Source organism: Homo sapiens, chromosome 9 (assembly GCF_000001405.40).
Source record: "Homo sapiens chromosome 9, GRCh38.p14 Primary Assembly".
NCBI classification, from domain to species: domain Eukaryota; kingdom Metazoa; phylum Chordata; class Mammalia; order Primates; family Hominidae; genus Homo; species Homo sapiens.
The window spans coordinates 92,268,504-92,283,668 of record NC_000009.12 but is presented as its reverse complement, the minus strand read 5'-3'; the positions used below and the strand labels follow the sequence as shown (position 1 = coordinate 92,283,668).

Below are 15,165 nucleotides of genomic sequence, written 5' to 3'. Positions count from 1 at the left end.
TATACTTTGTTTTAATTTTTATTTTTTTGAGACGGAGTCTCACTCTGATGCCCAGGCTGAAGTACAGTGGTGTGATCTTGGCTCATTGCACCCTCCTCCCAGGTTCAAGCAATTCTCCTGCCTCAGCCTCCCGAGTAGCTGGGATTACGGGTGCCCGCCAGCATGCCCAGCTAAGTTTTGTATTTTTAGTAGAGACAGGGTTTCGCCATGTTGGCCAGGCTGGTCTTGAACTCCTTACCTCAGTTGATCCACCTGCCTCAGCCTCCCAAAGTGCGGGTATTTTTACAGGCGTGAGCCACCACGCCCAGGTGAGTCACAGAGTATACTTAATTTTTAGTTCTAATACTGAGGTTGGGAAACTTTCCTCTGCAAATTAAATATTTTAGGCTTTTCAGGCAAAGTGTTCTCAATTTTGTCACCATTCTTAACTCACCCACTGTATGAAACAAGTGATGAGCCAGATTTGGCCCAGGGGCCATGGTTTGCTGACCTCTATTCTACGCGGTCTGTATATTGATTGTTAACCAAGGGTTTTTAAAATTTTTTTGACTTGACCAAGCACAGTGGCTCACACCTGAAATCCTCGCACTTTTGGAGGCCGACCTGGGCAACATGACAAAACCCCATCTCTACTAAAATTACAAAAATTAGCTGGGCGTGGTGGCGTGAACCTTTAGTTCCAACTACTCCACAGGCTGAAGTAAGAGAATGACATGAGCCCAGGAAGTTGAGGTTGCAGTGAGCCGAAAGTGTGCTACTGCACTCCAGCCTGGGTGACAGAGTTAGACTCTGTCTCAAAAAAAAAAAATATATATATATATATATATATGTGTGTGTATGTATATATGTAAGTATACATATATATGTATTGGCTTAAAACTTTTATTTATTTATTTTTAGAGAAGGGATTTCAGTCTGTCACCTAGGCTGGAATGCAATGGTGCAAACACAGCTCACTGCAGCCTTGACCTCCTGGGTTCAAGTGATCCTCCAGCCTCACCCTCCTGAGCAGCTGAGACCACAGATGTGCATCACCATGCCCAGAAAATTTTTTTATCTTTGTAGAGATGGGATCTCACCATATTGCCCCAGCTGGTCTCAAACTCCAGAGCTTGTGCGATCCTCCTGCCTTGGCCTCCCAAAGTGCCAGGATTATAGGCATGAGCCACCGTGCTAAAAAATTTTAATTTTTTACAAAAATTAGCTGGGCATGGTGGTGCACACCTGTAGTCCCAGCTATTCAGGAAACCGAGGCAGGAGAATGCTTGAACCTGGGAGGTGGGGGTTGCAGTGAGCTGAGATCACGTCACTGCACTCCAGCTTGGGTGACAGAGTGAGATTCCATCTCAAAAAAAAAAGAAAAGAAAAAAATTAATTTTGATGTAGTTTCAAACTCACAGAAAAGCGGAGAGTTCTTTATATCCTTCAACTAGATTCCCTAAATGTTAACCTTTTACCACATTTGCTTTATCCTTCTCTCTTTTTATGGGAGTGGGGCACAGTACCCTTTGAGAGTAAGTTGCAGGAATTATGGCCCTTTTCCTCTAAAAACTATATATTTCCTAAAATCAGTAACATTGTTTGAAATAACTGGAGTTAGAAAATTAACATTGATGCTGTATTACCTCATGTGTAGATCTTATTGGGTTCTGCTTGTCCCAGCAGTGTCCTTTATAGTTAACAAGAAAAAAAGAAGGAAAGAAAAACAAAAAAGACCTACATTGTGTGCTTCATGCAGTGGTATGTCTCCAGCCTTCTTTAATCTTAAAGAGCTCTTTAGTCTCTTTATGCCTCATAATACTGACATATTTGAGGAGGTACAGGCCAATAGTAGTGTCTCTTATTTCAAGTTTGTCTGATGTTTTACATGTGACTAATGGCTCTCGTGTCACTTTATTTAAATTGCAGTTGGTTTTTGTTGGGGATTGATTTTTTTTTTCCTACCTTAGAGCTATTTATTTTTAAATCCTTGATATTTTTGTGTTGAAACATTTCCGTAAAGTTGGAGACAATCTTGTTCTTATTTAATGAGCTGAATTTATATGGGTCTGTTACAATTTCAAGTATGTGTTGCTTCAGTAGGATCTTTTTGGTATTTTGGGCAAAAAGATAACCATATTCCAGAACAGTTATCTTTTTGATCTAACTCTTGATGGACTTACAAAATAGATAATCATAATACTGAAACCTCCATCATATGTTCCTACTTAGACATTACTTTAAAAAGTTACCAGAGGCCAGGCATGGTGACTCACGCCTGTAATCCCAGCACTTTGGGAGGCTGAGGTGGGAGGATCACCTGCGGTCAGGAGTTTGAGACCAGCCTAACCAACATGGAATAACCCCATCTCTACTAAAAATACAAAAATTAGCCACGTGTGGTGACACGCACCTATAATCCCAGCTACTCGGGAGGCTGAGGCACAAGAATCACTTGAACCCAGGAGGCAGGGGCTGCAGTGAGCCAAGATTGTACCACAGCACTCCAGCCTAGTGACACAGTGAGACTCCATCTAAAAAAAAAAAAAAAAAAGTCACCAGGTGTCAAAAGACATTATTTTTGAGACTACTAAGGTGATGATTAAAACATTTTTTAAAGTATTTAAAAATTTTTTTACTTGGAATTTCTTGCTATTTTCTGTTTGTAAGTCTGGTAAGTGGTTTCTTCGGTTTACCCTGAAGATTTATTTTATTCCTCTTTAGGAGTAGTTCCTTTTTCTTAGGTGTCTGTTATTGTGGATTTCTAAAACAATACTTTACCTCAATTTATTTCAGGATGTTCAAGATCCTTCAGTATTTGTAACTTTCCCTTTGGAAGAAGATGAAACTGTATCTTTAGTTGCTTGGACAACCACTCCCTGGACTCTACCTAGTAACCTTGCTGTGTGTGTTAATCCAGAAATGCAATATGTGAAAATTAAAGGTAAGTGGGAGGCTGGTTACTTATGATTAATATGGATAAGATAATTTTATATTTTGGAAAATATGAAAGCTTACCTTTCTTTTTGCATGAAGAATAGAATTATTTGAAAACAATCTGACTTAATTAGAAAAATAACTTTAAACATTTGTTTTCATTTCTAATTGAAAACTAACAAAACAATTAAAATAGTACAGAGATATAAAAAGTAGAACATAAAATTTTCTTATAATTTCCAGTTTATAGTACATTTTTCCACACCATGCCCCTGTGACAGATGAAGAATCTAAGATTCAGCGATGTGGCATCACGTCGTTACTAGCAATTGATACCAGAACTTGAGAACTTTTTGCCTTTCAAATGTCCCCTGGTAGAGAGTTACCAGTCTCAACGAGGGCCTTTCCGAGATTTAAAAAGAAGATTGGTACTTTGTGAACAAATATACCTTCAGGTTTGGTAGTTTTGTGGCGGTAAAAGAAAAAGAGAAAAACTCATTGCCATGAAAAAAGCTATGGCACAGCTGCTGTGGAAGGCAGTGACATTTCTTCAAAAAGCTGAATGAGATGACACTATGGCCCAGCAATTTCACTTCTGAGTGTTTTCCCCAAAGAATTGAAAGCAGTCTTGAACAGTTACTTGTACACCCGTGTTCATAGGAGCATTATTCACAGTAGTCAAAAGATAGAAGCAACCCAAGTGTCTATCATTGGATAAATGAATAAACCAAATAGGGTATTTACGTACAGTGGAATATTATTCAGCCTAAAAAAGAAAGGAAATTCTGATACAGGCTATGCCTTGAATGAACCTGGAGGACATTATGCTAATTAAAATGAGCCAGTCACCAAAAGACAGATACTACATGATTCTATTTATATGAGGTATCGAGAAGTGAACTTCAGAGAGCAAAGACTAGTAGAATGGTGGTTGACAGAGGCTGGGAGGGAAGGGGGAGTTATTGTTTAATGAGTACAGAGTTTCAGTATAGGAAAATGAAAAGGTTTAGGGTATTGATAATGGTAATGATTACACAACATTGTAGATGTATTTAATTCTGTGTAAGAATGGTTACCATGATTTTTAAAAATAGTTGTATTAAAACAGTCAACTTGATTGAACAATAGCTTGTGTTGGCAAGGGAAAAATATTGAGAAAGGAATGGGGAAAGATTGGGTGCCAGAAAAAAGGTACGGAGGGAGTTTTTTATTTGTTCTTTCCTGGGAGCAAATAGGACTAAGAGTTGACCTACTGGAAAGCTGTTGGCCACAAAGAGGCCTGGCTCAGGTGTCTGCAGCTGCTTCTCTGGAGCAAGGACAGTCCCATCTGCACAATTTCCCTATGTCACTGGTGGGTCACTAGCCATTCTGTGGTGAGCTTGACAATCTCAGCAGCCACCTGACTGAGATCTCAAAACACATCACCCATCTACCTGTGTATAACTCTTGTGCTTGGCAGACTTTGTATCTGAGCTTTATCAGAAACTGTGGTCCCCACTTACAATGAAGTTCCTGTGAGGTCAGAGCTAGGGAGTGGCAGCCTTATTCATAGCAGTTTTTCAATAAATTGGAAAGGCTTTTACAATGACCCATAGATACTCATTTTTCTTATAGTGAACTAAATATATGACATAGGCTCTAGTAAATCTCAGATGTGTAATATCATAGCTTATGATGAGAGTTTAAATTGGCCTAGATTTTCAGTATCAAAGTTTTAACTGTTCATACATTTGCTCCAGCTTTTCTTTTCCTAGGATGCCCCAGGTATCCTCCAGAAACACTTACAATAAGGGTACACAGATGCATCAAGGACATTCATCATGCCAGTGTTCATAGTAGTGAAAATTTGAAAGCAATTTAAGTGTCTGTCAACTTGTTAGAAATAATTCGTACCTCTATAAAATAGCGTCCCATAGAGCTCTTTAAAAGGATGAGAAAAGTCTGTATGTGCTAATACATGGAAGTATGTTGACAGTATATTAAGTGAAAAGCTACAAAATCAGATAGAATATTACCTCAATTAGAAAAATAAAAAGAACTTACACATTTACCTATATGTTTGTTTGTATATACATAGAAAAATATCCGGATCCATAGACACCCAAATGAGAATGTCTGAGAGGGGGTGATATGTGGCACTTAATTTGTGAGCTACTTTGTCAATGTTATTTTTAAACATTGACATGTTTACCTTATGAAGGAAAAAATAAAGATTTACTTAAAATGGATATCTGAGCGATAAATAATAACTACCAACTGCCTAAGTGCATTTGATGTTTTTGTCATTTTCATGTTTGGGAAGCAGTATACCATAGTGTTCTTTGCAGTATTTCTCTGTGAGTACTGGGTACAGTAGAGGCACATGGTACAGGAGCTCCTCAGGACAAAAGTATGCTTGATGCATGTCTTTGGAATCAGCCAAGTTCAGAATATAACCCAAGTCCATGTTTTTCCTTTTTCTCGTAGATGTTGCCAGAGGACGATTACTCATTTTAATGGAAGCCAGATTGTCAGCCCTCTATAAATTGGAGAGTGACTATGAGATCCTTGAAAGGTGAATATTCAAATAGTTGCTCTGTGTTTGTGTGCATGTGTCTGTATGTGTGTCTTTAGTTTTAAAAAGAAATAAACTTTGTTATCCAAAAGCTTGCATTATTCAAATTTAGTTTTAAGTACTAATACTATACTAAGTACTTTGCAGTCACACATTACAGCATGAATGGCTAGGGCTAAGAAGCCAGTAAACCAGAGGGGAGTGGTAGCTTGATGTGGCTGCAGCCTCATATTTGATTTTAATCTAATTGTGAGTTTGCCTTTCTCCTTTTCTAGATTTCCTGGTGCCTATCTTAAAGGCAAGAAGTACAGGCCCCTGTTTGACTATTTCCTGAAGGTAAGCTTAGGGACCGCTACTGTGGGCGCTCTCCACAATCTGATTATTTGATAGCTGGGGTGTTGTGAGAAGTGGAATTGACATTACTTTTATGAGTGTACCTGAATCCAGAAAGTCTGCTTTAGTACCAACAAAATTAAATTGTTTGTGTAGCTTTCTTGTCTTAGAGGATTTTTTTTTTTTTTTTTAAAAACAGGGTTTCCTCTGTCCCCCAGGCTGGAGTGCAGTGGCACAATCACAGCTCACTGCAACCTCGACCTCTTGGGCTCAAGTGATTCCCCTGCCCCATCCCGAGTAGCTGGGACTACTGGCACACAGCACCACACCGGGCTAAGTTTTTAGTTTTTTGTAGAGACAGAATCTCGCTATGCTGCCCAGGCTGGTCTTGAACTCCTGGAATTGCAAGCATGAGCCACTGCACCTGGCTGGGATTTTTTGTTGTTGTTGTTTTTGAGATGGAGTGCAAATATCGTGCAATAGCGCGATCTTGGCTGACTGCAACCTCTGCCCCCCAGGTTCAAGCAATTCTCCTGCCTCAGCCTCCCGAGCAGCTGGGATTACAGGCATGCTGTAATTTTTGTACTTTTTAGTAGAGATGGGGTTTCACCATCTTGGCCAGGCTGGTTTTGAACTCCTGACCTTGTGAGCCACCGTGCCTGGCCAAGCTGGGATTTTTTATTTGAATATTTTTCTCAAATTGTATGAGGAATCATTTTACATTTGATTGGATTTTTAGGTGTATATTTTTATTGCATGTAGTCTACATATCACCCAGGGTATTTATTGAGGTTTTTGTTTGTTTGTTTGTTTTGACAAAGTTAAGATAGTAATCACAGTAAAACATCATGTGGAAAGGTAAACACAATTTTATTTCAAGGAGGTTAATGAGGCAGGTGTTTTAAATCTAGGCACCACGACAGAGCTCATACATTTAGCACCTTAGTTTCTTCAGAGTCATAAAGTTGTTTTATGTGGTTTTATTTTCTGACAGTGGAGAATCCACAGCTACAGTTGCAAACCCTGCTGTCCCCACTCCCACACTCTCTCACCGAAAGAATAGTGTCAAAGAGGAATTTCTCCGTCCTTATTTAAAGGTCTTGAAATGAGATAATGAGCAGACCTGGCCTTATGTGGAAATAATAATCAACTGGACATATCACTTACGTCCCATCCCAGAAAAAAATGTTCGCTGAACCCTCAGTTGTTTCTGTTCCGTGTGGGGAGAGTCTGGTTGATTAAGGAGACCTCTGTGGTTTGGGCCCTATCCATGGTGTGTCTGTTACCTGCCTTTTCACTTTTGTGCCTCTTGAGTGTTTTCCCACATTTCTCGTTGCCTACTTGATAGCCTTCTTCCTCCTCCCACGTTGCTGCCCAGTGGATTTCCATATGTTCTGCCCTCATCCCATTCCTCCCTACAGGCGTTAGTTATTTACCAGCAATTAGGACGTGCCCTCCCCAGTCGGTATGTGGCAGAGCTGCTTCCTGACCACATCCTCCCACATTACTTTAGACATATCCTTTATTCAGTCAAACTGGCTCTTCCCTTTCCTGCTTCCCTGCCTTTCTTTAATTAAGTTTTCCTACTGTCTTAAAAGTCTTTATTTTTTTCTTATGTTGATATCTGCTGAGTTAACTCACCCTTCAGGTCTGAACTCAGATGTCCTCTGAAAGTTTTCTGAAATGCATCTTTGGTTTCTCCCTTGGAAAAATGTCATTACTTCATTCCATTCTCCTATCATATAGCTTAACATACTTTGTTTTATGTTGTATTTTTTTTATTATCTGAAATCTCTTCCACTGGATCAGTGACTCTCACCTTTCTGAATCACAAAACCTATTGAGAACCCAAAAACTCAACCCCCTGAAAGAATGCACATGGATACACTAGACAGGAACTTTAGGTTAAGTAGAGGTCTGTCTGGAATATGCACTTGGTAGGTATTAAGTTGAATAACACCTACTCATTAAATAAGCTTCTTAAACTACCTGAAACCTTCGGTGACTTTAGGCAAGTACTATAAATCGTTTGACCCAGGACGGAATCATCTGATGTTCACTGAAATATACCTGTTGTGAAATATCGAGGGAAGCTGAGTCAGCGGACACTGCCTATGGAGCAGCACTGCTGCTCCTGGTGGTTGGTATCTACTGACCTGGGTGGAAGCAGCCCAGCCATGGCCTGGGTAGGCCCAAAGTAGACCCTGAGAGACAAGATGCAGTGACTTTGTCTATACTGCTTCTAAGTATAGAACATGTAACTAAGTATACATGTAATTCTAAGGACCCATGTATTCTGTCTTTCTGTTTAAACTATCGAAGTTTTAGCACCTATCATACTATAACTTCTAAAATGTTTCAAGGTGATTTAGGTTACAACAATTAAAATTTTATGGTTATTTTTCAAGTTTAGTTTTAAGTTCCAAAGAAACCGAGTGCTGTGATGTAATTGAAAATAACATTGTATTTGCAACCAGAAGACCTGTTCCATGTCCTGGCTTCATCATTGCTGGTTGTGTGATTTGGATAAGACTAAGTTTAATCTTTGTTCTGAGCTTGCTCATCTGTGAAATGCAAATACAGCCAGAATATTTTTAAGACATGGGACTACTAATAGCTTGTTCACAGAATTATAGGAGTTAAATGTGAAAATCACTTGTGAAAGTACTTTTTACCAATGCAAAAAGGAAGGACATCAAAGGGCCAGTTTGGCAGAAACAAGGGTTTGTGGAAAGAAATGTAAAAAGATGAAAGTAGAGTAGGTCTGTTAGCATTATATGTATTAACATGATGATATTGCTGTTGCAAAGAAAATGAAATTGAACACATTTCCCCTGAGTATTAAGGTGGTGGAGTACCTGTAAGTAGAACTTACTACTCGTGGCTCCCACCTGTTCCTTTCAAGATTTGCCTTTATGACTGAATAACTTGAGCTGAGTTGAAAGGAGAAAGAGAAGCAAAACATATGCAGTGATTGAAAATGTACCAGGAAGTGAACAATTTAGGGAGCATGCTTTCTGAGACTGTATCCTAAACTGCATAGGGACAAAAAGTTGGGGGAGGGAGAACTAATGAAAAACACGTTTGTAACCAAGGAAATTAGAAATTTTTATCTGCCATTCTCCAGATAATTATTTCGTTTATAAGTGGTAACTTTTTATTTATGGGAAAAATGTATTGAATTAGCATGTTTCTTCCCAGCCTGCATTATTCTTTCTTTTCTATTTCTGAAAATAATTTTACCGGTTAAAAGCATTTTCAGGTTCTTAGGAAAAACTGTTACAAAGTTAACGTTGTAACACAGTAATGTTTCATCCCTGAAGCCTGCTGTCCTTTCTTTCCAGTGTAAAGAGAATGGCGCTTTCACTGTGCTTGTTGACAACTATGTGAAGGAAGAAGAAGGCACAGGGGTTGTCCACCAAGCTCCTTACTTCGGTGCTGTGAGTAGCATAAGTCTGGCAAATGTATTTGAGTATGTCGGTAGCCACTTTTCATAGATGCGGAGTCCTGTGTCTCATCATGTTGGGTTACCAGGTTGGCCTCTTTTCTGGCTCACTGCCTGCAAGATGGCTTGTAAAATTTGCATCTGCAATTCCCTTTCATCCTAAGCTGATTTCTGGAAAGAGTGGGCCAAATCCAGTAAACTCTTTTTGGTGTGCAGTTCCGTGAGTTTTGACAGGCATCTAGAGACGTGCAGGTGCCTCAGCCACCAAGATACAGACCATTCCCATCACCTCTGCTGTGTTCTTAATTAAATGTTCAGAAGGGGGAATCTGACCTCTCCCCTCAAAACAGTACTCTACAGTTAATTTTATATTTTGACTAGAATAATTTTTCTAAAAACACATTCCTTTTTATGTAATTTGTGTATGAATAAAAACAGAATAACATAAAGGCACATGCTTTACAGTAAACCACCTCTCACCTTAAATCATGGCACTGCCACTAACGGGCAGTTCCTGGGTAAGTTGCCTGGCCTATCTGGACTTCTTTTGCCTCCTCTGTAGCATGGTGTAGCATGGTGTAGCACCTACATACACATTCCTCTAGGCTTGATCGTTTTGTCAGTGAGAGGGATTGGAAATGTGACTTTGTTCTAAAAGGCAGTGGCAGTAGTCTGCCCTCATCTGCCATTTTGCTTTCATGCTTAATCTCTGGGATTTTTTACTTTTATAGATGTAGAGGGTACGGGTGCAATTTTTTTACATTGATATGTTGTATAGTAGTAAAATCTGGGCTTTTAGTGTAACCATCACTTGAATTTTTATTATGGAAATCTTGAAACATACACAGAAGAAAATATGATAATAGATTCTTTTTTTCACATCATCCAGCTGCATTAACTCTCAATGTTTTGGCAATCTCTCGTTTTCTTCCTCTGTACAGTAGCACACTTTTTTATTTTGGCTGGAGGATTTAAAAGCAAATCCTCATCCTCATGTCTTTCGTGTCTAAGTAATTCTAGCTGCATCTCTGACTGATAAGGACTTTTATTTTCAGTATAAATATCCAATAAAGTCAGCAATTCCTTAATAATCACCTAATACCTGGTCCATTTTGATGGAAGGAAGCATTCTTGATAATACTACTTAAGAGTTTTAGGAACTAGTCAAATATTGTTCATAATCATTTTAGGGTCAATTAACTGGTATGGTTACCCCACTCTTAGTAGATAATAAAAAGGTAACTTCTTGGTTTTGAATTGTAGTGTAGGGGTTTTTTTTTTTTTTTTTGAGATGGGAGTCTCGCTCTGTCACCCAGGCTGGAGTGCAGTGGCAGGATCTCGGCTCACTGCAATCTCCGTCTCCTGGGTTCAAGCGATTCTCCTGCCTCAGCCTCCTGAGGTTTTCTTTTTTAAATGTGGGTGTTTGTCATTAACTCTAGAGTTATATCTCATATATCTATTCTCAATGCTGTGCATGTTAATGTTATAGAAGATTCATTCTTTAAACTATAGCTTTTAACACCATTTGGTAAATTTTTTTTTTTTTTTTTTTTTTTGTTTTGTTTTGTTTGAGACAGAGTCTCCCTCTGTTGCCCAGGCTGTAGTGCAATGGTGCAATCTTGGCTCACGGCAACCTCTGCCTCCCAGGTTCAAGCGATTCTCCTGCCTCAGCCTGCCAAGTAGCTGGGATTATAGGCACCTGCCACCATGCCTGGCTTATTTTTTGTAAATTTAGTAGAGACAGGGTTTCACCATGTTGGCCAGGCTGGTCTCAAACTTCTGACCTCAGGTGATCTGACCGCCTTGGCCTCCCAAAGTGCTGGGGTTACAGGCGTGAGCCACTGCACCCGGCCTTGGTAAACATTTTCTGAGAGGCCTTCCGTTGCACTTGTCTTCACCAGGCAAGGGTAGTGTTTGATCTTCGCAGAGTCTGTGCACTTGTGCGTCATCCTGTTGAACATCACTGGTTCTGGATGCATTCAGGAATGCTGCTCTTAGCTTAATGCACTGGGTAAAGTTACTTGCTCCACACTCAGTGGTTCAAATTGCTGCACTTAGGGGCTTTTCCTGTCTACCCACATGACACCACACCAGTCAGCCTCAGCACAGGGAGAGGTGAACACAGATCCAGGTGGAAGCATGTCAGCTTTCCAGCTTGTCTTGGAGTCAACCCAGAGTGTGGTTTCACCAACATAAGGCAATCTCTTTAATTTTATATTTAGGCATCATAACACAGTGATGAAGACTATAGACTCTGGAGCCAGGCTGTTTGGTTTTGAATCCTAGCATTGCTGCTTCATAGCTGAGTTACTTCTTGGTACCTCGACTTTCCTATCTGTAAAATAGGAAATTTTTGGTTTTTCAGATGTGTGTGCTGCTGTTATAAATCAAATTTGATTTAGTTTTAAAACATTCCTGTGTGGCTGCTCTGCTTATGGAGTAGCCATTCTTTATTGCTTTACTTTCTTAATTCCTTTCACTTAAAAAATTGATGTATGTCATCTATCTTCTCATTTAGTGGATACTCTGCTACATATGGAGGTCTGGGAAATAATATTTGAGAAGACTAGACTGGGTGACCTAACCCCTGTCCAACTGTGAGGGTCTGATTCTCCGAATGGTCTTGAGTTACCTTCAGTTTACAGGACAAAGTTGATGAAATGTATATGTTACAATATAGAACAATTATCTTGGGAATCTATTACCTCATGCTCACACCCATACATAGACTGTTTTATTCTTCCCTCTCTTTTGCCTTTTCTCAGGAGGACTATCGGGTCTGTATGGACTTTAACATTATTCGGAAAGACTCACTCCCTGTTTGCCCTGTGGATGCTTCAGGCTGCTTCACAACGGAGGTGACAGATTTCGCAGGACAGTATGTGAAGGTCTGTAATCCATATAGCATAGAAGGGTGACTGTTACTTCTGATTAGTCTCTACCATCATTTATAATTGTATTGTAATTCTTCTAGGAAGTTGTTTTTATTTGGTTTTGTCATCGCATGAAATCCGTAAAGACAGATGTTATCAGTTACGTTCAGAGGGTCTCATATCTTTAGAGGATGCATGCTGAAATTTCATGGGGAAAGATCAGAAAAACTCCAGTTCATGCCTCATGAAGCACCTTTGTGACCTTGGGGTTGTCATTTCAGATCGAAAAACTTTATGACCTTAAATGTTGTGGAATGTACTTGAAAATTACTTAAAGTTAGTGACTAAAAATAATAAATAATATTTGTTATTTGTGCCTTTTATTCATAACAAGGTATCAGATTCTAGTAATATATTGTTCCTAAGTATTATAGTATGTTTTAATGGCTAAATTTTAATTTTTTTTAATAGGATGCTGACAAAAGTATCATCAGGACTTTGAAGGAACAAGGCCGACTTCTGGTTGCCACCACCTTCACTCACAGCTACCCTTTTTGCTGGAGGTCAGAAGAAACAAAGACTGTGTTGTAGCTAGAGCTTCCAGTCTGTGCTTACACTTACTATATGTGCCCATTCCATCTTATTTGTGGTGTTCATCTCACTTGTATCCTTTAGAGTTGGTTTGGGAAGCCACCTTCTTACTTCATTTTTAGGAGAGTTGGGTTTTTTGTTTGTTTTTTTGTTGTTGTTTTGAGATAGGGTCTCACTCTGACGCCCAGGCTGGAATGCAGTGGTGCAATCACAGCTCACTGCACCCTCCACCTCCCCGGCTTAAGCAATCCTCCCACCTCAGCTTCTGGAGTAGCTGGAACTATGTAGGTGGTGCCATCACACCCGGCTGATTTTTGCATTTCTTATAGAAATGAGGTTTCGCCATGTTGTCCAGGCTGGTCTCAAACTACTGGGCTCAAATAATCCTCCCACCTTGTCCTCCCAAAGTGCTGAGATTACAGGCATGAGCCACAGCGCCTGGTCTAGGAGAGTTTTATGAATGGCTAAAAATGTTGCTTTCCTAAGGAACTGTGAGAGAAAAATAGACCTGTACAAATCTGTTTTGTATTGTGGCCACATTTTTTTTAGGATGAGAAGCATCTCTAAAATTTTGTAATAGAGTTTATTGAAAAATTTAATATGATTTTAACCTTTAATATAAGACCATGCTGTAAAAGTATGGGTGAAAATGAAATGTTCAGTTGCATCGTGTTTGGTTTCCACATTGCCTCTTCTGTGTTGAAGTTGAAGTTGACATTGTTTCTTAGATAATTGTCACTAGCAGAACTATTTTTTTCTACTCTTGTTCTTGTATTAGTTTTTGCCTTTCTTACTATTGTGGAAAGATATGACCAATTTTGAAGTCTTAGATGTTTTTATCTATAATAAAAATGAATATTAGCAGAAGGCCAAGTAAGTGATGATGCTGTCAATAAGACATGAAAAGTCAGTCTTACCGTAGTGCCTACTAGTCTCAGCCTGAGCAGCTATGTGTGTGTTTCTGCTTCCCCAGATCAGACACTCCTCTAATTTACAAAGCAGTGCCCAGCTGGTTTGTGCGAGTGGAGAACATGGTGGACCAGCTCCTAAGGAACAATGACCTGTGCTACTGGTGAGCAGTAAGATGTGTTTCTTCATAGTGTCTTTTGTCATGTGGTTAGTAAGTATGGTTTACACTTCCCCCAAGTTATAATTTTAATAACCCATCTTTTATTGGGTATTGTAATAGCTATCTTTTCTTCTGTGTGTTTAGGAGCACAAAATAATTCAAATAATGTTACAGAACAGAAGTAACATCCTTCTTGTGATAAAGTATGTAAGGGAGTATTTTTCTTTTTAAACTCATTGGAAATGATAAACCACCATTTATTCGATTTAGGGAATGAAATGACCTTGGAAAAATATGGCTGTACTGCCAGAGTTTGCTAGCCTTCAATAATAGTCATTTTCAGAGTAAACATTATTTTCAGATATACCTGCAAAAGCCATTTGTACTTACTCTTGTTGGTCCTGCAGTGGATGATGTACCCTGTGCTTGGCTGTATGGATAAGCTCCAAGCACAGAAGCCTTTGCTTTCCATAGCTGATATGTGTCCTGCAGGTGATAGCCCAAGAAGTATCATTTCAGCCTCTGGGTACAAAATGAAACAAGGCTTGAACCTGTGTATTTCAGATGAATGTTTTTCACTACAAGTTTGAAAAGTAATCACCACTCTTAACTTCTCACAAGGACCCAACTAGACTCTAGAAAACTGTATCTGAGTTTAGGAGAATGGGGAGAATCTCAGGGCAGCAAAGGAAATAGTTATAAACTGTAGCTTTCTAATATTTCTTAGCAGAGTGGTCCTGATTTCTCAAAAGACAGCTTTTCATTTTTAGAGCTAGTAAGCTAATTAGTTCCCCTAATGTGTAAGATACTAGATATAGAATATTAGTAAGATAGCCTCGAGGGGGTGCAGGCATATAAACTGATCTTTGAAGTACAGGGCAGTAACTGCAGTGCCCAAGAGAAGAAGGGGAGGTCTGGTAGCCTACCCTGACTCAGCCTTGTGCTTGAAAAGGATTTCTGCAAAGCTGAACCTCAAGGAATAAAGAGTACTGGGAGTGGGAGGGATGCAAGAGGATGGATGCAGAAGGGAGGGAAGCTGCGTGTCAGAGGGCAGGCAGGCTGCGTGTCAGAGGGCAGGCATGGGCAAAGCCAGTTAAGTGAGAAGGATTCTAGGGAACTTGCCTCATTGCCAGAGCCTGAAATTCAAGACCAAGGATGACCAGAGAGGTGACTATAGAGAGGGCTGCTAGAGCAGCTACCAATCCCCTGGCCTGTTGGCCTTTGCTTAATGAGTTCAGAAAAACTGCTATGGTGAGGATAATGTGAAGACTAGAGTTGTATGGGATGAGGCTGGCTAAAGCTAAGGTGACTGGTTAGAGGTATGTGGCAGCTGTACTCCAGTTGAAGAGGAGGACATGGGAGGCCTGTGTGCTGTGGGGTAATC

At 39.7% G+C, this 15,165-nt stretch overlaps 1 protein-coding gene across 22 annotated transcripts in view; it reads left to right on the top strand.

Annotated features, from left to right (window-relative positions):
- Positions 1–15,165, top strand: part of IARS1 (isoleucyl-tRNA synthetase 1) — an 83,491-nt gene that overhangs the window by 10,029 nt on the left and 58,297 nt on the right. For 21 of the 22 annotated variants that reach the window (NR_073446.2, NM_001378573.1, NM_001378583.1 and 18 more), the window contains 7 exons: positions 2,776–2,923; positions 5,383–5,470; positions 5,746–5,806; positions 9,148–9,243; positions 12,014–12,136; positions 12,593–12,684; positions 13,686–13,784. Coding sequence is in view for 21 of the 22 variants with exons in the window: in NM_001378573.1 (NP_001365502.1) it covers positions 2,776–2,923; positions 5,383–5,470; positions 5,746–5,806; positions 9,148–9,243; positions 12,014–12,136; positions 12,593–12,684; positions 13,686–13,784 (707 nt within the window). In the remaining variant the exon portion in view is untranslated. Of the gene's footprint in view, positions 1–2,775; positions 2,924–5,382; positions 5,471–5,745; positions 5,807–9,126; positions 9,244–12,013; positions 12,137–12,592; positions 12,685–13,685; positions 13,785–15,165 lie in introns of all 22 variants that reach the window. The other variant, NM_001378571.1, reaches the window with a different exon arrangement.